At 44.0% G+C, this 27,588-nt stretch overlaps 1 long non-coding RNA gene across 1 annotated transcript, besides 3 other annotated features; it reads right to left on the reverse strand.

Moving 5' to 3' along the window:
• Window positions 1-11,963: 11,963 nt before the first annotated feature.
• On the reverse strand, window positions 11,964-20,218 carry LOC105378372 (uncharacterized). Its single transcript, XR_001747510.2, has 2 exons — window positions 20,036-20,218; window positions 11,964-12,648 (listed from the first exon to the last, which is right to left on the reverse strand). It is a non-coding gene; the product is annotated as an uncharacterized LOC105378372 (long non-coding RNA).
• Window positions 19,393-19,452: an enhancer, noted in NCBI's record as "active region_3610". NCBI's record gives its function as "activates an Ori minimal core promoter by ATAC-STARR-seq in GM12878 lymphoblastoid cells {active_cell/tissue: GM12878}" and the evidence as "EXISTENCE:reporter gene assay evidence [ECO:0000049][PMID:35858748]".
• Window positions 19,823-20,012: an enhancer, noted in NCBI's record as "active region_3611". NCBI's record gives its function as "activates an Ori minimal core promoter by ATAC-STARR-seq in GM12878 lymphoblastoid cells {active_cell/tissue: GM12878}" and the evidence as "EXISTENCE:reporter gene assay evidence [ECO:0000049][PMID:35858748]".
• Window positions 22,129-22,360: a silencer, noted in NCBI's record as "fragment chr10:79472357-79472588 (GRCh37/hg19 assembly coordinates)". NCBI's record gives its function as "represses an EF-1alpha promoter that drives an FKBP-Casp9 reporter gene in an ReSE screen in HepG2 liver carcinoma cells {active_cell/tissue: HepG2}" and the evidence as "EXISTENCE:reporter gene assay evidence [ECO:0000049][PMID:32094911]".

A 27,588-nucleotide genomic window follows, 5' to 3' on the forward strand; every position in this document is an offset into this window, starting at 1 on the left:
CATTAGGTAGAACCCACTGTGCTGAGCCTGAGGCGGGATGGCAGCAGGCTAGGGAGGGCAGCAGGCTGGGGAGGGCAGGAGCGGGGAGAATTCAGAGCCACACAAAATGCAGAGGCTGGCTTCATGAAGGTAGGAGACATCTGTGAGCTCAGAAACCAAGGCTCCAGTCTCAGCCAGCATTCAAGTCCACAGCTGGGAAGAACAATGTGTTCATACTTTGGCTGTCAAGGATAGAGCTTTGTAAGTTTAACTGAGACTTTGTGTCTTAATTATGATAATAGCTATGATCATGGAGCTCATCTTGTTTGCCAGGCCCTGTGCTAAATGCCTTATCTAGCTTAGATTCTGTTGAGCCCCATTTCCATTGATAGATCCCCTGTGAAATAGACACCACTCTCAGCACCATCTTGCACATGAGGAAGCTGAAGTGTGCCAGAAGGCTACCCAGCTCCTGGTATAGAGGTGTAGCCAGAATTTGAACCTAAGCAGTTTCCAGAGCCTCATGCTGAACTGTCTGTGTAAGTCTCGCACCACAAAAGACCCTTTTCTGAGCCTGGGTACATCTAACATATATGTGGAAGTTTAGATGCATTTTCTGAGGCACTGCATAACAAGTGGAACATCTCATTTAAAACCCGTATGATTCATTTTAGCCATGGAGATGCAAATAAAGCTTCTCTTTATTCAGTTTACTAAGCCCCTGCTCACCTCTAACTGAAGACTCCGAAGACTTCGGTCACATTTCTGTCCATAACATTGATGTAAATCAAATAAACCAAATTCTTGTCTATCTGAACTTATAGAAATCACAGGCTGACTTCTGAGTCTTGAACTTCACTGTTTCATTTTATGGCACTTCAGAGGCTGGACATCACACCATAGTGGGGACATATTTCCTAAGGTAGAGGCCACTGGGCTTGAAAAAAGGGCTCTGTCCTTTTAGCAGCCATGTGTCAGAGGGTAGGAGCTTCACCTCCTGCAGCCCAGTCCCCTGGTCCTGCCTGCCCAGAGCAGCATCACCCTCAGTGTGCCAGGCACCTGTCCTGCCTTATCTAATTTGACCCACACAACAACCATTTAAGTTAGGTACTAATTACAACTTGCATTTTACAGATGAGGATGCAGAGGCTGTGTATTAGTCCATTCTCACGCTACTATAAAGAACTGCCTGAAACTGGGTAAATTGAAAAGATTCACAGTTCTGCAGGGCTGGAGAAGTCTCAGGAAACTTAAAATCATGGCAGAAGGAGAAGCAAACACATCCTTCTTCACATGGCAGCAGGAGGGAGAAGAATGAGAGCAGAGTTAAGGGGGAGGCCCCTTATAAAACCATCAGATCTCGTGAGAACTTACTCACTATCATGGGAATAGCATGGGGGAAAATGCCCCTATGATTCAATTACCTGCCACACACATGGGAGATAATTGAATGGTCCTTCCCAGGACATGTGGGGATTATGGGGACTACAATTCAAGATGAGATTTGGGTAGGGACACAGCCAAACCATATCAGGCCCAAAGGGAAAAATGTTTTGTCTGGGGTTGGATGGCTAATCAGTGATTTGGCCATGTTCATTCTATACAAGCTCTGTCCTTGAACTACCAACATGCCTGTGGATATTCTACAAATGGAGGAGCTCTGCAGAAGGTAAGGGCCTATCAGAAGCATGTAAGCACGTCCAAGCTCCAAGCACTCGAGCTCACTGAGCTGCCTGGGTTCCTGCCTAATCCTGTTCTCTCCGTCTATTGGTCTGTCTAATAAGTATAGAAGAAATAAGAGCTGGTTCAATAGATCAGGAGGGTGACTACATTTTACAATAATTTATTGTGCACTTCAAAATAGCTAGAAGTGAATAATTTGAATGTTTCTAGCATAAAGAAAAGACAAATATTTAAGGCAATGGATATCCCATATACACAGATTTGGTCTTTAAAAATTATATGAATGGGCTGGGCGTGGTGGCTCACGCCTGTAATCCCAGCACTTTGGGAGGCTGAGGCAGGCGGATCACGAGGTCAGGAGATAGACACCATCCTGGCTAATACAGTGAAACCCCGTCTCTACTAAAAATACAAAAAATTAGCCGGGCGTGGTGGCAGGCACCTGTTGTCCCAGCTATTCGGGAGGCTGAGGCAGGAGAATGGCGTGAACCTGGCAGGCAGAGCTTGCAGTGAGCCGAGATCGCGCCACTGCACTCCAGCCTGGGCAACAGAGCAAGACTCCGTCTCAAAAAAAAAAAAAAACTATATTAATATATTAAATTACCATATGTACCCCCTCCAAAAAAGTAAAATTTTAAAAATGAATTTAAAAATAATTTTTTAAAGAAATATAGAAGGATCCATCTCCTCTGGCTTTAACAGCTCACTTCTGCCTGATGGTGGTGGTGTCTGGAAACACATACTTTCCCAATTCATCAGCCAGCTGCATGCAGCCCTCAACACAGGGCAAGGATTTGATGAGTGTTCATTCAGGAACTTATCAATGTTCCACTCCTGTGGAGGTGAGGTCCTGCAGCTGGCAATGCATAGAGGCTCGGATCATTGGCGGCTGTCCAGGCACCCAGGCAGAATGTTTCACATCCCCAGCCCACGCTGGCAGATCCATGCAACTGCCCAGAATGAAGTGAGTCCTGAACCACAACAGACAGGCCCATTGTTGAGCTACCATGGATGGAGCTCATTGAGGACTTGCCTCTTCCAGGACTGTGAGAGAGCTCCTCCTCCACAACCCTCAGCCCATCTCAGCTTCTGTTAACCACCTTCACCCCCCAATACCCTTATAAGTGCACTTACATGGCACTAGGCCCTATCCTAAATGCTTGACATGTGTTAATCCATTAATCCTAATGACCCTTACCTGCCATGCTAGGTTTACTGGAAAAAGCTCTGGTTTATATTGTATCAGATTATATCACATCACATTGTTCAAATTGGTAATACAATTGCATGGTGAAAAATACAAGAGGGATAAAAGAATATAAGTCAGTCCATATCCAGGTGGGCCATTCTTCCATGGCTTTAAATGGAGAACCAAAGGGGCTTCTCCTTTCTTCCTTCAGTCCAGCCAGCTCTGCACTGACTTTCTGCCAGACTGTCAGCCCTTGGGGCAGGACAGTGGAGCCTGGGCTAAACTGATATTTCCCAAAGTTGGATCTTTTGAGGACCTCTGTCTCAATTTTTATGCATCCACATAGTACCTTTACTTTTTATTCTTTACTTAAGAATTAGCTTCAGGCTGGGTGCAGTGGCTCATGCCTGTAATCCCAACACTTTGGGAGGCCAAGGCAGGAGGATCGCTTGAGACCAGGAGTTTGAGACCAACCTGGGTAACACAGCAAGGCTCTGTCTCTAAAAAAATTTAAATAAAAAAAATAGCTGGGCATAGTGGCTCATACTTGTAATCCCAGCTACTTGGGAGGCTGAGGTGGGAGGATCACTTGATCCCAGGAGTTCGAGGCCAGCCTCAGCAACATCTCTACTAAAAAAGAAAGAAATGATTCACAACACGGCTTAGTACTTGGTAAGTGTTAGCTACTACTTACGGCATATCCCTTGCCATAAGTAGGAGATAACTGAAAAAAAAAACACAATGAAAACCAAACTATTAATTAAAAAATTAACTAAAGACTACCTGCCCAAAGACAAGTTTTCTCCTTGTCAAAATTCGAGATGAACCAAAGTTAGAGAAGTCATCAGCAGTGGTGAGGAGAATTGAAAGGGGAACAGCAATCTTGCCTCATGATACACTCTTATTCACTGCCCTTCCTGCCTTCCATCTAGATCCACCTTTCATGGCATTTGTGCCCCTTGGTCCACACTCTGGGGAATGCTGGGCCAAGCAGTAGTTTCATGGGAGATGGAGGAAGAACCGTCTCTCCAGGGAGAAGGCTGTTGATTCCACAAGAGGCTTTTACAAACTAGCTGTCCCAACTCCTTCCCCACCTACCTCTCCCTGGTTTTGCTGTGTCTATCTTCCCTGTGTGGGAATTATAGTGTCTAATGAAAGCTGTTATTTATGGAAGAGTGTTCTCACATGAAGAGTCTAGAGGCAAAAAGGGCTTGAGACCAGTGTATGAAGAGGAACTTTGGCCCATAGGGATTGAGATGGCATCTTAAGGGTTCCTTTTAAGCCTGGAAACTGGACTTTGAAAAAAAAAAAGTGGGAGGTGGGGGGTTCCTTGCACATTCTGCAGTATTTCAGAAAGATTTCATGTTCACTTTCTTATTAAGTTCTTGATCAACCCAGTGAAAAATTTGGGCAGATGATGATGAAACCAAAACCCAAGATGTCACAGCTCCCAAAGTTTGAGCTGAGGCAAGAATCCAGGTTTCACCACCTTCTGCTCTTTGTTCCAAACTAAGAAGTCCCCTCTTGAACACTTGTTCAGTGGTAAAGGCCATCAGAGTATACCATAAAACACCTTGAGAATTGCTTTTATGCAATAAATATTTGAATGAATGAATGTATTCATTCAGTTGGTGATGATCAAAGTGATGATCAATAAGTAGCTTATCATTGCATTTTTATTACATGCCAAGTAATGGTTGCTAAGGAACTTACATACATTATCTCATTAAACCTACACAACAATCCTATAACATAAAGATTATAGTTTATCATTTAGGAATCATGTTCAGCTGATGGTGTATGAAGTAGACTCCAGTGGCTTCAAACAATAGTTTTATTAGGGTATGTGTGTCCTTGGGTCTGTGAGCACTTTCCAAAATAATTCAGGTAAAATGGATCTAAGAGAATCCATTTCCAGAACTAAACTTCCACATTTACTCTTTCCCAATGTCTCCTTTCCTATGGCTCCTTTAATAATTTTCCTTCTCCTAGTTTACAAAAGAAAAGTGTATCTCTCGCCTGTCTTGAATCATAGTATGGTGCATTGCTCATGGATGTCAAACAAAGGAACCATTCAAAATCTTGGTGTCACAAAGCCTCCCTTAATCAAGGTACCATAAATCAATGCTCTCATTGCTACCCAATAGCTCATTATTTTTCCCTTAAACACATTTCAGTTAAGGGTGAAACATGCTGTTAGAAATGGGGTATTTTGGACTATACTGGGATGTTTTGAATTCAGACATATTGTAGAGTGATGTTTAGGAGTGATGACAATTTTTATTTAATGATATCTCACCTCTTCCAAACTCTAAGTATTGTCAAAGAATACATTGCTTCTGAAGGAAAGCTCAATGAGTAAAGGGGGAAAAAAACCTGTCAGTGAAAAATATTGAATGAAGCAGCATCTTATTTCATTTGGTGACACATTCATGGCACCTTATCTTTTTTACTTAGAATTAAAATTCAGAAGTGAGGTTTGCATGGGATTTTATATTAATATATCTACTTGAGATAATAATAACTGATTACATGTATATATAAATATGGAGAAATTTATTGAGTTATACACTTAGGATTTTTGTATTTTATTTATATAAATTAGACTTCAATTTTAGAATATAAATTAAATCTGATGCTAATGGCAAATTGAGAATATTTAACCAATCTCTTAAGGATGGCTTAATTGAAATAGAAAATGGGGACGTAGTATTTTTAAAATCCCCTTTAAGCCATAGGAGAACTACTAAAACAGTAAGAAACAAAAAACAGGTAAACAAAAAAGCTGGCCAAGATCTAGGACAAGACAGAAATTCAGAGATGCAACTGGTGCCATAGAGGTCGGTCTGCTTTTCTCCTGGGGACGTTTGATAATTCTGCCTGGAAAAGCCAACTATAAGAATGAGAGGCGAAGAGGCTGAAGAGTGCTTCTTTGTTGTTTGTTTGTTTGGTTTTTTTTTTTTTTTTGAGACAGAGTCTCACTCTGTCACCCAGGCTGGAGTACAGTGGCGCAATCTCGGCTCACTGCAACCTCCGCCTCCTGGGTTCAAGCAATTCTCCTGCCTCAGCCTCCCAAGTAGCTGGGATTACAGGCGCACGCCACCATGACTGGCTAATTTTTTTTATATTTTTAGTAGAGACGGGGTTTCACCATGTTGGCCAGACTGGTCTTGAACTCCTGACCTCGTGATCCGTCCGCCTCAGCCTCCCAAAGTGCTGGGATTACAGGCGTGAGCTACCGTGCCCGACCTGAAGAGTGCTTCTATTACTTCACAAGACAAAAGGGACACAAGTTGGATACCAAGGCCCACCATAGCAGTGGTACCTAGGAGTAAAAGAGAAACAAAATAGTCCCTGAAGCAACATAAAACTTTTTCTTTGAGACAGTCTCACGCTATCACCCAGGCACAAGGGCAGTGGCACGATCGTGGCTCACTGCAACCTCTGACAGTCAGATTCGAGTGACTCTCGTGCCTCAGCCTCCCGAGAAGCTGGGACTACAGGTGCATGCCATCACACCCAGCTAATTTTTGTATTATTAGTAGAAAGAGGGTTTCACCATGTGGGCCAGGCTGGTCTTGAACTCCTGGCCTCAAATGATCCCGCCGTCTTGGCCTCCCAAAGTGCTGGGATTACAGGCGTGAGCTACCGTACCCAGTCTAAACCAGCTTTAACTAATTTCAGTCTTTACATCTGGAATAAGGTGATGCAGGATAGCTGGTGCCCCCAAACATCTGGCAGAAGCAAAAACAAATCCTCTCTAGAAAAAGAAAACATCCTCCTAGATTAAACATTATCTTTTAAAAAACAACTTTTCAAATACAATTCAAGCACACAATAAAAGATAACCAGCCACATAAGACAAGACAATATGAAAGAAAAGAAGCAGAAACAGGCCAAGCCCAGTGGCTTAGCCTGTAATCCCAGCAACTTGGGAGGCCAAGGCGGACAGATCACCTGAGGTCAGGAGTTCGAGACCAGCCTGGGCAACATGGTGAAAGCCCATGTCTACTAAAAATACAAAAATTAGCCAGATGTGGTGGTGGGCACCTGTAATCCCAGCTACTCAGGAGGCTGAGGCAGGAGAATAGCTTGCACCCAGGAGACGGAAGGAGCAGTAAGCTGAGATTGTGCCACTGCACTTCAGCCTGGGTGACAGAGCAAGACTCTGTCTCAACAACAACAACAACAACAACAACAACAACAACAAAAGCAGCAGCAGAAACAATAAACACTAGAAACAGACCCACAGGGGCTCCAAATACTGGCATTATCATATATAGACTTTAAAACAACTATACTGTGGAAGGAGAATTGTGCCACCATGACCAAATACAATGTGTAGACCCTGTCTGGAGCCCGGGTTGAAAAAAAATTAAATTGTTAAAGAGTTGTAAAGCTAATCTGGGAATACTGAAAATTGAAGGTGAACAAGGTAGTAGGTGACATTAAGGAATCAGTATTAATATCACTTAGTGTGATTTTGTGGTTATATATATATATATATATATAAATGTATATATGTATATACGTTTTGTGTGGGGGGGGGGGGTGTTTTTTTTGTTTGTTTGTTTTTTTGTTTTTTGAGATGGAATCTTGCTCTGTCACCCAGGCTGGAGTGCAGTAGGGCAATCTCGGCTCACCGCAACCTCCACCTCTTGAGTTCAAGTGATTCTCCTGTCTCAGCCTCCCAAGTAGCTGGGATTACAGGCACATGCCACCAAACAAGCTCATTTTTGTATTTTTAGTAGAGATGGGGTTTTACCATGTTGGCCAGGCTGGTCTTGAACTCCTGACCTCAAACAATCCACCCACCTCAGCCTCCCAAAGTTCTGGGATTACAGGCATGAGCCACTGTACCCAACCAGTTATATATTTTTTAAAGTTCATATTGGTTAAAGAAATACGCTAACATCTTGGGTTTGCTTTTTTTAATTATATATATTTTTAGATGGGGGTCTATGTTGCCCGGGGTGGACTCAAACTCCGGGACTCAAGTGATCTTCCCATCTCAGCCTCCCAAGTAGCTAGAACTACAAGCACACACCAGCATGCCTGGCTCTTTGAATTTGCTTTAAACTACAATTCAAATTTAAAGCTTTAGATTGCTTTAAAGTAAAGAAGGAAGCGGAAGTGAAAGAGGAAGAAGAAAAGGAAGAAGAGGAAGATGATGAAGGAGGAGAAGGAGGGGAGCAGAAGCAGCAGCAATGGGGGAGGGAGTAAGGAATACATTTTGTAAAGGAATTAAAGAATATTGATCGTTATTGAAGCAGAGTGAATACACAGAAATTCATTATACTATTTTTTCCGCCTGTGCATATTTAATACACAGATCCATACACAAATTGTTCATAATTTAAAAGTTTTAAAAATTCTGTGCTTCCTGTGTATATGCAGATAAAAGGAAAAAAAAAACAATGTCAGCAAAATCCAGAAACTATACAAAAAGACACACCAGATTTGGGGGAAAAAAATGGGAATTCTAGAATTGAAAAACACAGCAAGTAAAAATTGCTTAAAATTGTGTTCATTGAGATTCTAGAAGATAATATGAGAAACTACCTTCATAGCCCCAGTGTAGGGAAAAATTTCCTCATCAGGACACAAGAAGAACTACCAATGAGGAAAAGCTTGTTACTCAGACCCCATTAAAAAAAGAAGTTCTTGTTCATCAAAAACAACCATTTAAAAGTAAAAAGACAAATCACAGAGTGGGAGAAAACATTGTAATACATGTAAGTATTAATGGGATCATATCCAAAATATAAAAAAGAACTCCTACAAAACAGCAAGAAATAAAGATTGCAACAGATAAATGGCAAAGTCTTAACAGGCAACTCACAGGAAGAACTAAGTCTCATTCATTATCAGAGAAATGCAAATTAAAACCATGGTGAGCTACCTCCATGTGCCCTCCAGAAGCTACATAAAATGCAAAGGTATATGCAGGAGTTACAAAGAAGGTACAAATGTGTGGTCTTTGAGCTGATGAACCTAAGTGTGGGTGAGGACGTGAAGCAACAAGCAGTCTCCTATGAGTAGGAGTGCAATTTGGGTACAACCACTTTGAAAAACATTGGCACTATATACTGTAATTGAAGACAGACATGTTCTAGAATTCAGCAATTCTACTTCTAGGTAGAACAGAAATGCATATTCATAGCAACATGATTCATTGTAGTACCAAACTGGAAATAACCTAAATGCCCATTAACAGCAGAATGGGTAAATTTATTGTACTAATTTTATACAATGGACAACTGTAGCAAAATGAAAATGAACACATGTAAGTATATGTATGAATTTCTCAAACACAATGTTGCAACACAAAAGGAAACATACAGTAAGATTTCCATTTATAAAAAATTCAAAATTAAGCAAAAACTAACTGTATTGTTTAGGGATAAGTACATGCATGGTAAAATTATAAAGAAGAAAAGCACGCTTACCATAAAGTCAGGATAGTGGTATCCTCTAGCAGGAAGGGAGGGAAGTGTGAGTGGGAAAGGAGAGGAGCTGCGCTTTCTAGGATGCCAGAAAAGAGTGATAGTTACATGCAATGAGAACACATGGACACAGGAAGAGGAACATCACACTCTGGGGACTGTTGTGGGGTCGGAGGAGGCGGGAGGGATAGCATTAGGAGATATACCTAATGCTAAATGACGAGTTAATGGGTGCAGCACACCAACATGGCATATGTATACATATGTAACAAACCTGCACGTTGTGCACATGTACCCTAAAACTTAAAGTATAATATTAATAAAATAATAATAATAAAAAAGAGTGATAGTTACATGGATGTTGGCTTTTGATTATTTGTTGACTTGTAAAAGTTTGCTTAGTGCAATTTTCTGAATGTGTGTCATATTTCAAAATAAATAATCTTGACTCATTGGTTTGGCAATAAGAACTAGCTTTACCATCTAGGATATTTGGTGGACATTTTCCAATGTTTGGATGAAAATATGTTTAAAGCTGGCACTCAGACAAAAGCATTCCATCAAAAATATTATGCTGATAAAGGTAAATTGAAATTTATGTTTGGATATCTCCCAACACGTTTTGTGAATAGCAGTTTAAACAAGTGCCCCTGTGTAAAGGAATGAGAAGGTAATTAATAGTCATTTGATAGGTTTTGGTGCATAGCCTTTTTGATACAATTCCCAGAAACTGAGAACGTGAATTACTCTAACGATTGGGTTGCAAATCCTATGAAGCCAATGATTTCTAATTCCTTGCTTTCAAGAAAATTAAAGGAAGGCTTAATCAAACTATTAGCTGACAGAATATTAAAAATGGTTTTGATGATATATCATTATGCAATTTTAGCATGCAATTCATAAAAAGTTCAAAGAATCATGACAGTGCTATAATAAAACATATTCCATTTTTATTTACTTATTTACATGAACAAGGTTTCTGAGTGCTAACATCTACAAAAACAATTAATAGGAAGACTAGCTGAATCCTGTTTCATTCTAGCAGTATGTAATATTCAACCATGAATGAACAAACCAATTAGTTGAAGAAAAATACTCCATTCATCTCATTAAGAAATGCATTTCTCAATTTATGTTTATGTTTATTATTTATAAAATTTTAAAATACTTTTTTCTCAATTGTATATTCATTAAAATTGTAATGTAGCTTAATTTGGACAAAATTTTAATCCTCAGAGATGTATGGTCGCACAAAATAAGAAAGGATTTTAATGTATGTGTTCCTGTGTATGGAATTTTATTGTAGAAACATTGGCAAATGTAATCTATAAAAGACTTTCAAGCATAAAAGTATGTTAGGTTGAATTCCTATAAGATACACAAAATGAAAATAAGAGTTCAAGCAGAAAAATGAACGATCTAAAATTAAACCGTTAAAGGAGGTTTTGTTCATGGTTTTGTTTTTTGTGTTTTTTCTTTGTTTGTTTTTGTTTTTTTTGAGACAGCATCTTGCTCTGTCACCCAGGCTGGAGTGCAGTGGCATGATCTTGGCTCACTGTAACCTCTGCCTCCCGGGTTCAAGCGATTCTCCTGCCTCAGCCTCCTGAGTACCTGGGACTACAGGCGTGCACCACCATGCCCAGCTACTTTTTGTATTTTTAGTAGAGACGAGGTTTCACCATGTTGGCCAGGATGGTCTCAATCTCTTGACCTCGTGATCCACCCGCCTCGGCCTCCCAAAGTGCTGGGATTACAGGCGTGAGCCACTGTGCCCGGCCTTATTCATGTATTTTTAAGTAGATGATAGTGAATATCAGATTATTATAAAATTTATATTTCTTTGAATACACTTTGTTTTTTGAGACAGGGTCTCGCTCTGTCACCTACGCTGGAGTGCAGTGGTACAATCAGGGCTCACTGCAGCCTCGAGCTCCTGGGCTCAAGCGATCCTCCCATCTCAGCCTCCTGAGTAGCTGGGACTACAGGTGTGAGCTGCCACACCCAGCTAATTTTTATATTTTTTGGTAGAGACAGGGTTGCCCATGTTGTCCAGGCTAGTCTCGAACTCCTGAGCTCAAGCAATCCTCCTGCCTCGGCCTCGAAAAGTGCTGGGATTACAGGCATGAACCACTGCGCCCAGCCTCCTCTGAATGCACTTTAAAGAATGATGTGACAGTTTTAGAATGTTAACAGTTTCAGTAAGTCAGAATTACATTATTTGAAACTATTTAAACTTATTAAGAATTTTAGATTTCAACTTTAAAATGTGCATAAGGTACATAGTTTTTAAAGCCTAATGGCTGAAACAGACTAATGGTTTATTCTCTGACATAAAAGAAGTTGGAGATAGACAGGTTATGCTTGTGTGGCAGCTCCTTGAAACTATGAGAGGCTCAGGATCCTTCAGTCCTTCTATTCTGCCATCCTTAGAAGGTGGCTTCTACCCTCAAGGCTACATTATGGCTACTGGAGCTTCAGCCATCATGTCATGTCTGGGGATCCCAGAGAAGGGACACAATAGCTTTTACCAGGACTCCTACTGAGCCACGTCCCACTCCTATCTGTCAGGGAGCCTAGAAAAGAACTTTTTCTACTGGGCATGTGGCCAAGAGCCCTGTTACCACAGGAGAAGATGAGAATATACACTTGGCAGGCAATTCGCAGTCTTAGTCATGTAGAATATGACTCCATTTTTATTAAGTTGTACACTTACATGTGATTTTATGCAGTGTTACATTTGGAAGGATGTTTACCAATGTATTTGTGGTTTATCATCGGATAGGAGATCTCAGTTTACTTTTACTTACTTCTCTGAACTTTTCTACATTGAATTTTTTGATAGACATGGTCATCCTTTTTTTCTTTACCTTTAAACAACATGGGTTTGAACATGGTCATTCTTACAAAAACATTACAGATATGCTCATATTTTAAAAAGAGGTAAACTGGGAAAAAGAAAAATTAGAGACTTTGCAGTCAACAACCTGAGTTTAAATTCCACTCTGCAATATAATTTAGGCATATAACTTAATCTCTATGGACCTCAATTTCCACTGTATAACTAGGTTATAGCCTCCAACAGTATTAGAAGTAGAGGTCATATTTTCTTCTTTTGTTTTATATATCAAAATTTAGAAGTCCCATTTACTGGGAGTGTCTTCAGAGAGCACAACAGATATATGTCCCAATTCGGGCCCATGAGATACAAGGGTAGGTTTGGTGGATGCTTCGGGGAAACTGCTCCTCCTTCTCAAGAGTCTCTCTTACCGGGGTTGTTGTGAGAACCTATGAATCCTGAAGCCACCACAGCTCAAGCCTCAGGATGAAGCCAGCACCAGGAGAAGGACAGAGCTGAGAGACACACAGAGAAACCATAGTGTCAATGTGTCCAGTCTGGACTTTTCACTTATAGGACCCAATAAATCTCCTTTATTATTTAAGCCAGTGCTATGGTTTGAATGTTTGTCTCCCCCAAAATGCATGTTGAAATTTAATTGTAACAGTATTAAGAGGGGAGGCCTTTGAGAGGTGATTAGGCTGTGAGGGCTCTGCCCTCATGGGTGGAATTAATGTCCTTATGACAGGGCATATTTGGTCCCTTTTGTGTTTCTGTCTTGCCCTGTCTTTGTCCTCCCACCTTCTGCCATGTGGTCACACAGCAAGAAGGTCCTCGTCAGAGGCCAGCACCTTGATCTTGGACTTCCCAGCCTTCAGAACTATGAGCCAATAAATTTCTGTTCATTATAAATTATCCAGTCTCAGGTATTCTGTTAGAGCAGTGTAAAACAGACTAAGACAGCCAGTCTTGGTTTTGTTTTATTTTGCCTGTTTGCTGCAAGCATCCTAATCGCTATTCAGCTTAAAATTATGTAAAATTACTTTTATTTATATTATCTTATTTGATCCTGACAAAAAACCTCTCAAAGTGGTCAAGAGTTATAATAGCTGAGGAAATTGAGAGCCAGGATGTTGAATGCTCAACATCACATGATAGAAAAATGGTGACAAGGATGGGACTCAAACCCAAGTTTCCTTGGTCTGAGTTCAGTTTCCTTCTCATTGGGCCATAATGCCTGCAAGGATAGGCAAGCAGAAGGTGTTCTGATGACTGAAAAGGAGTTGTCCACACTACAGATGCACCATGGTCTGAATGTTTGTATCCTCCCCAAATACATATGCTGAAACTAATCCCTAATGTGGTGGTATGCGGCAATGAGGCCTTTGGTAGGTGGTTAGGTCATGAGGGTGGAGCCCTTCCAAATGGGATTAGTGCCCTTATAAAAGAGACCCCAGAAAGACCTCTTGCCCCTTCCACTATGTGAGGACACAGCCAGAAGGTGCCATCTATGAACCAGCAAGCAGGTCCTCACCAGACACCAGATCTGCCAGTGCCTTGATCTTAGACTTCCCAACCTCCAGAACTGTGAGGAATAAATTTATGCTGTTTATAAGCCACTCAGTCTATGGTATTTTGTTACATCAGTCTAAAGCCACCCTGGGATGTAGTCAAAGCTTTGGGGATGACATTAAAAGGGCGGTGCCCATGGCCTCCCGAAATCATACCAGGGGATCTTGGGCTTATCAGGCTAGTGGCACTCAAAACCAAGCACCCAACAGTTGGATTTTTATGGGGATTCCACCTGCTAAGTGGAATCCCTGGAGGGAGACACCTGGAGGAAACTAATGAGCTGTTTTCAGAGTGCATAGACCAAGGAGACTGGGAGTGAGTCTGGTGAGAACCCATTGAATATGGGCCTGAAGGTTGGCATTTGTAAATTAAACCTAAAAGCTAAAAAAAAAAAAAAAAAAAAAAAAAGGTCGAGAATACTTTGTGACTACTAGCAGCATCAGCATCCAACCTAGGATATCCTTTCCCCAAGCCACTCACTGACATTTGAAGTTCCAGAAGTTATGGTAATTCCTTCAACTTTACAATTGAGATGCAGCTCCTGTCTCACCCCTCACCACCCCTCGGGAGCAGGGAGCTACTCAACATTGATAGTCACTTATTCTTTATTATTACTGAGTTATTGCTCCTTTCCTAGAAGACAGGGAAGTGAGATTATTGTTGGCAGGGGGGCAGTGGGCAAGACAGGAAGGATCCCCAAAAGAAAGGGTGTTGTCAGCCGGGCGCGGTGGCTCACACCTGTAATCCCAGCACTTTGGGAGGCTGAGGCACGTGGATCACCTGAGTTTGAGACCAGCCTGGCCAACATGGAGAAACCCTGTCTCTACTAAAAATACAAAAATTAGCCGGGCATGGTGGCGGGCACCTGTAATCTCAGCTACTCAGGAGGCTGAGGCAGGAGAATCGCTTGAACCCGGGAGGCGGAGGTTGCAGTCAGCCGAGATAGCGCCATTGCACTCCAGCCTGGGGAACAAGAGCGAGACTTCATGTCAAAAAAAATAATAAAATAAAAACATAAAAATAAAAAAAGAAAGGGTGTTGTCACCATGACTTTGGGAACAGCTGCTCCCTGGATGTCCTTGGGCCTCCCTCTTGTCTGACCTGGCACAGGGCAATCACCACTGGACTGAAGAAGTGGCAAAGAAGCCCACTAAACCAGTCTGATGCTAGAAAGAATGAATCCTTCACCTCCCACAATTCCTCCCTAAGGCCTGCCGCCCAGAAAATAAACGCCAAAGGGAAGAAACATTTCCATTTCCGTCTATTGACCTCAGAGCCTCTTCCAACCCAATGTTTTGATGTCACTGCCTGTAGGTGGGCTGAGTCCTGCTATGACTGAGAGGGGCTGACCCTGAGCCAAAAGTGGAGGCCACAGCAGTTGACTTGCCTGCAGCTTTTTTGGGGACACTTAGGTTTCCCAAAGTTTATTAGGCAGAAGGACAGGAGGAACAAAACACAAACTGGCCAGCTTTTTGGGGAGAACAGTATGGTCAACGTAAAGTCAGGTGAACAATCCTAGCCACATCGGATCAATACAAGGGACAATAAAAAACCAAAAAATATCTCCTTACTTTGTGGAACACAATTCAGTGGAGTCTAACAGACCTGGTTTTGAATCAGGCTCTGGATGTAACCTAACAATGTAACCTCAGACACGCTACTTATGTTCTCTGTATACCAGATTCCTCATCTCTAAAGAGGAGGTGATGATAGCAAATGAGGAGAAACTGAAAGCTTTTCCTCTAAGATCTGGAACAAGACAAGGATGCCCACTTTCACCACTGTTATTCAACATAGTACTGGAAGTCTTAGCTAGAGCAATCAGACAAGAGAAAGAAAAAACAGGCATCCAAATTGGAAAAGAAGAAGTCAAATTATCATTATTTGCAGATGACATGATCTTATAGTCAGAAAAATCTAAAGACTCCACCAAAATACTATTACAACTGATTAGCAAATTCAGTAAAGTTGCAGGATACAAAATCAACATACAAAAATCAATAGCATTTCTATATGCCAACAGCAAACAATCTGAAAAAGAAGTTAAGAAAATCATCCCATTTACAATAGCGACAAATAATTAACCAAAGAAATAAAAGATCTGTACAGTGAAAACTATAAAACACTGATTAAAGAAATTGAAGAGGACACAAAAAAATGGAAAAATATTCCATGTTCATGGATTGGAAGAGTCAATATTACTAAAAGGTTCATACTACCCAAAGCAGTCTACAGACACAATGCAATCCCTATCAAAACACCAATGACATTCTTCACAGAAATAGAAAAACAATCTTAAAACTTACATGGAACCACAAAAGACACACAACAATCAAAGCTATCCTAAGCAAAAAGAACAAAACTGGAGGAATCACATTATCTGACTTCAAATTTTACTACAGAGCTATAGTAACCAAAACGGCATGGTACTGGCATCAAAACAGACACATAAACCAGTGGAACAGAATAGAGAACCCAGAAATAAATTCACATATCTACAGTGAACTCATTTTTGACAAAAGTGCCAAGAATATACATTGGGGAAAGGGCAGTCTCTTCAATAAATAGTGCTGGGAAAGGTGGATATCCATGTGCAGAAGAATGAAACTAGACCTCTAAGTCTCATCATATACAAAAGCAAATCAAAATGGATTAAAGACTTAAATCTATGACCTCAAACTATGAAACTACTAAAGGAAAACATTGGGGAAACTCTCCTGGACATTGTAATGGACAAAGATTTCTTGAGCAATACCCCACAAGCACAGGCAACCAAAGCGAAAATGGACAAATGGGATCACATCAAGTTAAAAAGATTCTGAGAAGGAAAGGAAACAATAAAGAAAGTGAAGAGACAACCCACAAAATGGGAGAAAATATTTTCAAACTACCCATCTGATAAGAGATTAGTAACCAGAATATATAAGGAGCTCAAACAACTTTATAGGAAAAAATAAAATAAAATAATCCAATTTGAAAATGGGCAAAAGATCTGAATAGACATTTTTCAAAAGAAGACATACAAATGGCAAACAGGCATATGAAAAGGTGCTCAACATCACTGATCATCAGAGAAATGCAAATGAAAACTATAATGAAATATCATCTCACACTAGTTAAAATGGCTTTTATCCAAAAGACAGGCAATAACAAATGCTGGCGAGGATGTGGAGAAAAGAGAACCCTTGTCCACTGTTGGTAGGAATATAAATTAGTACAACCACTATGGAGAACAGTCTGGAGGTTTCTCAAAAAACTAAAAATAGAGCTACCATATGATCCAGCAATCCCACTCCTAGGTATTTACCCAAAAGAAAGGATATCAGTATATCAAAGATCAGTATATCTGCACTCTCATGTTTACTGCAGCACTGTTTACAATAGTGAAAATTTGGAAATAGTCAAAATTCATCTGTTGTTCATCAACAGATGAATGGATAAAGAAAATGTACAGATACACAATGGAGTACCATTCAGCTACAAAAAAAGAATGAGATCCTATAATTTGCAACAACATGGATGGAACTGAAGGTCGTTATGTTAAGTGAAATAAGCCAGGCACAGAAAGACAAACATATGTTCTCACTTATGTGTGGGAGCTAAAAATTAAAACAATGAAACTCATGGACACAGAGAGTGGAAGGATAGTTACCAGAAGCTGGGAAAGGTAGTGGGGGAGTGAGGGGAAGTGGGGATGGTTAATAGACCCAAAAATATTATTAGAATGAATAAGACATAGTATTTGCTAGCACAATATGGTGGCTATAGTCAAAAATAATTTAATACATTTAAAAATAACTAAAAGATTATAATTGGATTGTAACACAAAAGATAAATGCTTGAGGTAATAAATACCCCATTCTCCATGCTGTGATTAGTATTCAGTTCATGCCTGTATCAAAATATCTCATGCAGCCCGTAAATATATAGACTTGCTATATACCAACAAAAATCAACAATCAAAAATTCATTAAAAAATAAATAAAAAGGAAGTGATTATAATGATGCTACCTCACAGAAATCTTAAATGAAATAATGCTCATAAAGTACTTAATACAGGGCCTGGCACACAATACATCGTATTCGTCCATTTTCACACTGCTATAAAGAAATACTGGAGACTGAGTAATTTATAAAGGAAAGAGGCTTAACTGACTCACAGTTCCACGTGGCTAGGGAGGCCTCAGGAAACTTACAATCATGGTGCAAGGCAAAGGGGAAGCAAGGTCCTTCACATGGCGGCAGGAGAGAGAAGAGTGAGGATTAGGGGGAAGAGTCCCTTATAAAACCATCAGATCTCATGAGAACTCACTCTATCACTACAACAGCATGGGGGAAACCGCCCCCATGATCCAATCAGCTCCCACCAGGTATCCCCCTAGGGATTATGGGGATTACAATTCAAGAAGACATTTGGGTAGGGACACAGCCAAACCATATTATACATGTTCATTAAACGGTGGCTCTTATTTTTGTCTTGGGTCAGAGAGAATGGAGGCAGATGGAAAATATTGCAAAGAGAAGAAAAGTATAAATTGTGGGGGCAATGGGGATGGCACTGGCATTTTTTTGAACTTTAATAATAACATTGCAAACCCAGTAAATGGTTACCAGACCTAAGTTTGAACAGGCAAGGTGTTTAATACAGCTTGTTGATTGGATTTACGGGTCCTTCCGGGCCTTTCATGGAGCTTGGGCCTGCTTTCTACCTTTATTGCTTCTGATGCCTAAGGCTAACTCCCCAGGGCAGCTTGACTCCCAACAGGGAAGTCTCATTTACCAAAAAGTCTCAGTGATTCTGTTTTCCCTGTCTTTTTTGCTTTTATTATTGTTTTTATTTTTTTAGAGACAAGATCTCGTTCTGTTGCCCAAGCCGGAGTACAGTGGTATGATCATAGCTCGCTGCAACCTTAAACTCCTGGGCTCAAAGGATCCTCCTGTCTCAGCCTCCTGAGTAGCTGAGAGTACAGGCACACACCACCACATCTGGCTAATTTTTAAATTTTCTGTAGAAATATGAGTCTCATGATGTTGCCCAGGCTGGTCTCTGACTCCTAGGTTCAAGCGATCCTCCCACCTTGGTCTCCCAAAGTGCTGGGATGACAAAGCCTCCATGCCCCACTGTCATGATGATTCCGAATCACCTCCAGCAAGGGACACCCTCTTCTTAGGGCTGAGAATAACTGCCAATGAGGAACCATGGATTTGGAGGCCCTTCAAGGGTCAGATCTTGGTTCCACCAGGTTCCCATCCTCACCTGTCATCAATAACCAGCACCTTGGTCTCCTTGTCCCCTGCCTTCAGCATCCCTGGCAGATTCCTGATGGTGACACTCCCAAGGCCACTTCACAGGATGGACCCTCATGGGTCATCTGGGCCAAACGCCTCCATGATAAAGCATAAGCACCAGAGAGGAGGTGGACTTGTCTAGGTTACACAGGAGGCCTGGGGTTGCTATTGGGCTCACCCAGGTCTAGGGAGCCCAGGACAGCAGTCATCACCACCCCACTCTCAGTAACACTGTGCTCTTCAGTATGTAGACAGCTCACATCTATGCCCCATGCATGATTTACAAATGTAAAGACCATGCACAGGAGCTGGCTTAGCAAAAATTGATAAGCAGCAGCCCTGGTTATCATTACTGTCACTGTCCTTGTATCTCATAGCTTCATACTACACCCAAGTCACCATAGGCATGGGCATCTTTGTTTTATAGTAGGAAACCAAGGTTCACACCTTAGCCTGCAGGACTTTGTAAAAACCCTGCTGTGGGTAAAGAGCCCAAAATGGCCAGCCCCTCAGCCTTTTGCTCCCAACCCCCAAGCCCTTTCTCCTCCAGGGCACTGCCTCCCACCCTCGTCTGGTCAGGGGAGGCCACCAGAGGAGGAGTACTGGCCTGGCAGGGAACACTGGCAGTCTCGGCCCTTCACCAAACAGCAGGGGAAAGGCAGCAAGCCCCGCCCCGGTGGCCCCAAGATATGGGTGCCAGGAACCCGTCATTCAGAGACCACAAATGAAGAAAGCAGGGAGGCCAGCCCAGCCAGGCACAGCTCACCCCACCCTGCTGGGAAAACCCATTGTGTTTCACCGGGCATCCTGGGGTGCTGTTGTGGGCCAAGAATGACACTTGCCTCACGCCATCAAAACCAGAAGGGTATCCTAAGGGGAGTAGGCTCGCCCCGCAGAGCCACACTAGATGGAAGCAAGGCGAGTAGCCAGGGCAGAGCCCACCCCCCGCACCTCCCTCCCCACAGCCTGTGTAGACACACAGGCCGGCAGAGTCACCGGGGCAGCAGGTAGGAAGGGCGGTTCAGGAAGCCAGGTACTTACCACAGGGGAGCATGGTCTCTTCAGCCTCACCCTCAGGTTCTCACCGTGGGCTCCACTGGGCATCCATAGGACCCTGCAGTTGTGGGCAAAACCGGGGAGACCCATACAGACATCGTTTTCCTGGGGAGAAAGAAAATTCGATTTCATCAGAGTCCTAACCCTGTGCATGCCTTGCACAGGGACAGACGGAAATAAGCTTCCTCCCTACCCAGGTCATGGGCCTCTGCACTCAGTGACAAAAATGGGAGAGCACAGAGCCAGCTCCCCACACCCGCTGAAAAAACAAGGAGTCCCTGAGGCCTCATGTTCAATCCCACCCCCACCCCCCTTTTTAAGCCCTGTCAACTCTTTCTCGCCTTCAGTCATCAGCTTAGGTGCCTCTTCCTCCAGGAAGCTCGCCTTCATCTTCCCGGGCTGGTTTAAGGGCACTTTCCGTGCCATGTGCTCAATTCCTTGTGTCCCCACTAAACCTCAGATCCCACAGGAGCAGTGGCGGTGTCTGCCGGGTTCTCGCTCTGTCTTCTGCTCTGCTAAGGTGCCTGGCACACCATGCTCTCGATCCCAGATGAGTGAATGAACTAATGAATGAATGAATAGCAGCACCACATCAGGCTGCTCTCACATAACCCACATGGCTAAGGAGAGGTCTACGTTTTATTTTTTAAGAAGGCAGAGCTCGAGGGGGCCTTGAAGTCACATCGCCGGCTGCTGAGTCTACGAACAGGGAAGCAGCCGCAGTCCCCGAAAGGACCCGTCCCAGCGAGCCAGGGCCTGGTTTTCCTTCCGCAGAAGGCGGAGGGACCGGAGCGGGCGCGGGCACCCCTGGGCTCTGAGGGGCGCGCTCTGAAGGGCGGCGGACTTCAGGGCCATGCTGGCTGTCCCCAGAAAGCAGGAGCCCGAAACCGCGGGGCCAACGAACGCCCACATTCTCTGCTACAACCTCGCCACTCCCCTGCGCCTCTCCCCTTGCCCCCTGCCCCCACAGGTAACGCCCAGAACGAGTGCTTCTCCCGGTGGGGTACTGAGGAGCCTGGGCTGCAGCTGCCGAGCCGCCACAGCCACGCTGAGCCCGGCCTGGCCTGCACACTGGCGCCACCGCCTGGCGGGGAGCGGGACTGACGCGCTCCTCTCCCTCTCCTCCAGCCCAGATCACGGAGGCGCGGAGCTCCATCTCCTGCCCTGGGCGAGGGGAGTGAGGGAGACAAAGACTTTGGGCACAACACCCACCACATAGAACCTATTCTCTAGTTGGGAAACAAGTCAAGGCAAAGGCGCACAGAGTGAAAGTCAGTGTGTGAGCAAACAAAACACCAGCCAGCAGAGGTTAAGCTTCTATGCAAACAGGCCTGCCTGACTCAGGGAGCAGGGGAGACTGAGGCAGATGAGAAGCTCCCGCCGAGGCCACCAGGATGCCCAGGCCTTGGGGCTCCAGGAAACGTGGTCTCCACGCTCAATCTCGGCTCAGCCTTCCCCAGAAGATGCCTCTAGCCGGACAGAGCTGGGTTTTAATCATGCCGCCTTCATAAGCCAGGTGCATGATCTCTGGCTAGTTAACTACAGGTGCATTTCCTTAACCTATTTAAAAAAGGGGTGGGGGGATGGTTAGGAACTCTTGCCTGGTTGTGTTGTTGTTACAATTAAATCATGAATATGGAGCATTTGATGCAGTGCTCAGAATAGAAGCTACTCTTAAAAGCAATCCACTCATAATAGGGAACGAAGGTTCTAGAATGGCTACTTTTTAAAACTATAAATCAGAACAGATTCAATATAAGAACATCACTCTCAATTCTTACTCACTTCCATTCTGGAGTAGCAGAGAAAGAAGCAGAGGGGCCACTGGCTGCAGAGGGAATGGCCCAGAGCTCACAGCCTGTCCTGGTTAAGTGGCAGCCATGGGGAGGCCCTAGAGAAATGTCACCAAGAACTGTGGAGACAGCAAGGAGTAAATGCTAGCACTGATTGTCTGCCAAATGCCATTCAATGAACTACATTCTTTACAAGCATTGACTCATTTACTTCTCACACCACCCCTACAAATAGGTGTCATTATCATCCCCATTATTTTAGAGATGAGAAAGCTGGGACATTCACAGATTGGGGACCCAGACCAAAGTCACACTGCATCTAAGCAGCAAAACTGAAATTGTAGCCAGGTGTTCTGGCTCCAGAGCCTCTGCTCCCAACCACCAGCCAATACCTGCCTCTCTGATCTGGGAGCTATATTCATTCCCACTTCTCAGGCGAGAAAACTGCTGTTCAGAGCGATGAACTCTTGCAAGGTCACACAGATAGTCACTGGCAGAGCTGTGATTTTTAGTCTTGAGCTTTCTCCCTAATTCAACTTGGGATAGAGAAAGTAAAAGCTGGCCAGGCGCGGTGGCTCACGCCTGTAATCCCAGTACTTTGGGAGGCCAAGGCGGGCGGATCACGAGGCCAGGAGATTGAGACCATCCTGGCTAACACGGTGAAACCCCGTCTCTACTAAAAATACAAAAAATTAGCCGGGCGTGGTGGCCGGCGCCTGTAGTCCCAGCTACTCGGGAGGCTGAGGCAGGAGAATGGCGGGAACCCAGGAGGCGGAGCTTGCAGTGAGCCGAGATAGCGCCACTGCAGTCTGGCCTGGGCGAAAGAGCAAGATTCCGTCTCAAAAAAAAAAAAAAAGAAAAGAAAAGAAAGTAAAAGCCAGCCCCTCTCCAGCCGTCAGAATTACAAAAGGTGAACCGGGGACCTGTTGGCAATCACATTTCCGACCGTGTAGCAGAAGCTGGTCTATGGTAAGAGACGATAAAACCACCACACAGAGAGAAGCAAAGATGAGGCTCCGCCAACAGAGTTCAAGTCCCAGTTCCGGCCATTCCTGAAATCCAGCTGCAACCTTCCCTTTCTAAAACTTGGTTGTTCAAATTCAGGGTTTGACTCCAGGTGTCAATAAAGCCCCACTGTGTCCCCAAGTTGTTACAAGTTGGGGAATAGTCAGTTGCAACCAAAATGTGCTCTGCCACAGAAGGTGACATATGGAAACAAGAGGCAGAAACCCAGAAGTCCAGAGGATCTGGAAAAATGAGAGGAAAGAGAAGCCGAGAGCAGCAGAAAGAACAAAGGGTGCAAAGCTATAAAGAGCCTTTTGCCCATCTTGCCAAACCATCAGCTCTCTCACTTGTCCCTGAGCTTGCTGCTTCTGCCCACAGACTGCTTCCCAAACAGCTGTGAAAATATCGTGAACTGGTGCTTTTGAACATTTCCTCTTCCAAATGCATGCAAGTTTCACAGCCCCCTGAGTCCCACACGTAGACAATCACTTATACCAATTCCTCCTTCCGATAAATGTTCATGCCAGCTAAAATAACTCCCCATCCTTCAGATCCCCCCACACCAAGTAGTCTCCCTAAGTGCGTGTTCTTCCTGCCCCCCACTCCCCCGCACCCCTCCAGCAGGGTGCTTCTGGAAAGGCAGATGGCATGAGTGGAGAGCTGACCCCCAGCTCAGTCTTCAGGAAGGCAGGGCTGTTGATGAGTCAGCGGGGTCTGCACTGAAGCATCTGGCCCAAATTACCAGGATGAAGACTTTTTCGGCAAATTGCTCACAGCCCAACAGGCAGCACTCCACGCAGACCACCCCAGCGCTGCTGTTAGTCACGCGTGCATTTTAATTTAGCTACAGAAGAGGAAGGAGCAAAGAGCACAGAATAATCCTCTCCTTAGAGAGGAAAATGGGACCTCGGGAGCTTGCATGGCTTCCCTCAGGTCACTCAGCCAGTCAGAAAAGAAGCGCTCAGCAGGGGCAGGCTCCCTGAGCGTGTCCTAATCCTAGTCCTCGCAGAACTCTGGTCATTCTGGGATCAGCATCTGCAGTGGTCACATTCCTCACCTTCCCCCTGCCTCCCACCACCGTCACTTGACTTTCTCTCAGAGCTCAAACTAGAAGGGATCTGGTTCAGTTCCATCAACCATTCATTCATTCACTCATCCATTCAAAGTGGCGAGGCTGGAAGGGGCCTTAGGGCTCATCTGGCCAAATCCTTCCCATCCGGTGTTCACTGGGCTGTTTGACTCTAAGCCACAAACATTGACTCTAGCTAACTGAAGCAAAAGAAGACTCAGAGTTTATTTAAAGTAAAAGAAGAAGCTCAAAGAATTGGAAAATTTTTTAAAAAGCTGAAGACTTGTGTCCTAATAGGACAGGCTCCAGGGACCTTAAAAGCATGAATTTAATGATCTATAGAGTGCATCTTCTAGCACTTTTCCACTGGTGTCTTCTGAGTGGGCTCGTTCATGAACAAAACGTTTTCCCCTTTCTCTCTCTCCCTTGCCTCACCCATGGCTGCTTCTAGGTGGTGTAGCAGGCAGGGAATGGGCAGGGAATGTAAAATAAAATACATGGCCTCTTGAGGGCTCATGCAGACAGATTGCTGGACCCTACAGAGTTCCTGATTCTGGGGTAGAACTCCAGAATTGTGCATTTTTAACAAGTTCCCAGGCGATGCCAATGTCGCTGTTCTGGGCACCATACTTTGAGAATCACCACTCTAAGGAAACTTCACTTAAGTTTTGTGTCACACTTAGCTGGGGAGCATGGGGCACGCTGAGAAATAGTCCCCACCACAACTGTACTCAGTGGGATCACCAAGTCCCACAAGGCTGAAATCAATGGGATTTTCAAATGAAAAACAGGATACTATGACTAAAAGAGAGGATAGATGTTAGGCAGGAAAAAACACAGAGGTACACTGTGCCCCTCCCCAGGTGACATTTGAATGTTCGTGACATCTCCACCAGGTGGCCCCCTGGCTTAGGCTTGAGTTCCTCCAGTGACAGAAGGCTCACCATTCCACCATACCCAATCTATTTGTGGATGCTCCGATAATTACTAAGTTCTGAGTCTTGTGACACAAGACTCAGAGTTACAATTCCCCTCTATGTAGCAACTCTTCAAATAATTGGGGGTAACTCTCAGGCTTCCTGGGGTCAGTGGGTTAAATCTCTCCAGCTACTTCTGCAGTTCTTCATGAGACATGTGGAGGATCCTCCTTGCAATCTTGAAGGAGCCCAAGATCTCTCTTTGTTGGGCAGGTGACACCTTTATTGCAAGCCTGGTATCTGACAGGCCCAGTGCTTCTTCTGGCAACACAGTAGCAAAAAAGGCAAACACTGTGCCTACTCTCATGGAGCATTAGTGAGTAATCAAAATGGAACTGTGTTCTACAGATAAGTTCTCTTCAGCATGCAACAGTGAGGCTATCACCTCCCTCATTCTAATTAACATGCTTCTATTAATGCAACCTGAGATGACATCAGGTTTCTCAGCAGCCACATCCTACCATTGACTTCTTACCATTCTTCAGAAATCTTTAGAAACATTTACAGTGCGCCCAACCCTATGCTGGATGTCACAGGAGTGCAACAGAAGCAAGAGGCCTGGTCTCAGCCTCTTTAGAAGCCACTGTTAGTCTCACTGAAATGTTGGTTAACTGGCAACTGGACAAGATCTTCAGGTCCCAAAGGAGATCCTCAAGGAGTCATCGTCACTGATTCCAAATCCAGGGTCTCATTAGGAGCACATGGACCCTCTGCATCAGCAGAGCCTCTACTGGGGGCCAGGCCTCCAGGCTGAGAAGTCTGGCCATTATATGTCTTGAACTTCCTCCAACTGCAGCAGACGGGGGCTCCCTGTGCCACCCCCTCTAAGGGGTTTCCTGAATGGTCAGCTCTAAGGCAGGAATCAGGAGAGAAGCTGAGAAGCATCAAAGAATAATGAGCTGGAAGGAGCCTTGGCAATCCCAAGTCCAACCTTCTCATTCCACAGAAGACCCTGGGCCCCAAGAAGTGAAGGGGTGGTTCGAGTGCCCACTGTTGACAGATGAATCCTAGGATCCAGCTCCTCTCTTGCCATGAAACCCCATTCCCTGCCCACCACACACCACCCAGAAACAGCCGTGAGTGAGGCAAGGGAGAGAGAAAAAAGCAGACACATTTTGCTCATGAACGAGCCCACTCAGGAGACACCGATGGAAAAGTGCTAGAAAATGCACTCTACAGATCATTAATCAATTGATGCAACTTAAGCAATATATCAGGGGGAAAAACCTTTGTTGCCAATAATGGAAGCGCCTAAGACAGAACATTCTTCAGTGCCGGCTGGGCAACAGAAACAGCAGGCGGCCATAACTCAAAGCCCAGAAAGCTTTTGTTTTTAAACTTGCAATGCCAAGGAGGTGAGACAAGGGAGCCAATTCTCAGGGAGACAGGCCATGCGGAGCCAAATGCGTTCAGGTGATATACTGATCAGATGGTCCAGATACAGTTATTCTCAGAGGAATGATGGCTCATTAACGAGCCAAGCTGTTGACCACAGCTCTCCAGGAGAAGGGAAATGAGGGCTACGTGTTTTCAAAACCAGAGCTACACTCGATGTGACACAAGAACTAGACATGCATGAGTGTGGAGAATCACAGTGAATGGAAGGAAGCAAGACCCTTCTCTCCCAGACACCTTGATGTTGTGGGTTAGCCTTCATTAGAATAGGACTGATTCCTGGATGGGTGACATCATGAGCTAACACGTGTGTGCTGCTTACTACTTGCCAGACACAGTTTGCTATAGTTGGGATGTTTTTGCTCCAAATCACATGTTGAAATTCGATCCCCAGGGCTGGTGGTGATGGGCCTGATGGGAGGTGTTTGGATCTTGGGAGTGGATCCCTCATGAATAGATTAATGCCCTCCCTGGGGGATGGTGGAGGGATAAGTGAGTTCTCACTCTGTTCTCGCAAGAGCTTTTTGTTTAGAGGAGTGTGGCACCTCCTCCCTCCTCTCTCTCTTCCTCTCACCAGCGATCTCTGCACCCATAGGCTCCCTTTCACCTTCCACCATGGGTGGAAGCAGCCTGGAGCTCTCACCAGGAGCAGATGCTGGTGCCATGCTTCCTGCACAGCCTGCCAAACTGTGAGCCCAATAAACCTCTTTTCTTTATAAGTTATCCGGCCTTGGGCTTTCCTTTATAGCAACAGAAATGGACTAAGACACTGTGCCAAGCACTTTGTAAATATTAACTCCTCACAATAACACTGGGTGTGCTATGACTACCCCATTTTACATATGAGTCAACTTTGTCACAGAGAGGCTGAGGAACTTATCCAAGGTCACACAGCTAGTAGCACAGCCAGGTTAGGATTGAATCCAAGTAGCTCAGTTAGGAATGCCTGACTTCGCTGCTGTACCACTAACAGCTAGAAGAATAAGGAGTTGCTGCTGATGCTCCCAGCGTGCCCCCATAAATATACAGACTACTCTAGTACTCTGGTCTTCTAACCTGCCATTTGGGACCTGCCTAAGCTTTCCAATTTGAGGTGCTGTTCTCTGATATCACAAGAAAGTACCTCTATAAATTCTGGCCATGATAATATCTTTTCTTCCACTTGTTGATTACAGATCTCTGATGTACAGCCAAACTGCATTATTTGAGTTTTCTTAGCATATATAGAATTGACACATTGATATAATGTGTAATGGCCATTTACTTTTTTCCCCCTTTTTTTTTACTTCCCCGTAATAT

This window comes from Homo sapiens, chromosome 10 (assembly GCF_000001405.40).
Source record: "Homo sapiens chromosome 10, GRCh38.p14 Primary Assembly".
Lineage (NCBI taxonomy): Eukaryota > Metazoa > Chordata > Mammalia > Primates > Hominidae > Homo > Homo sapiens.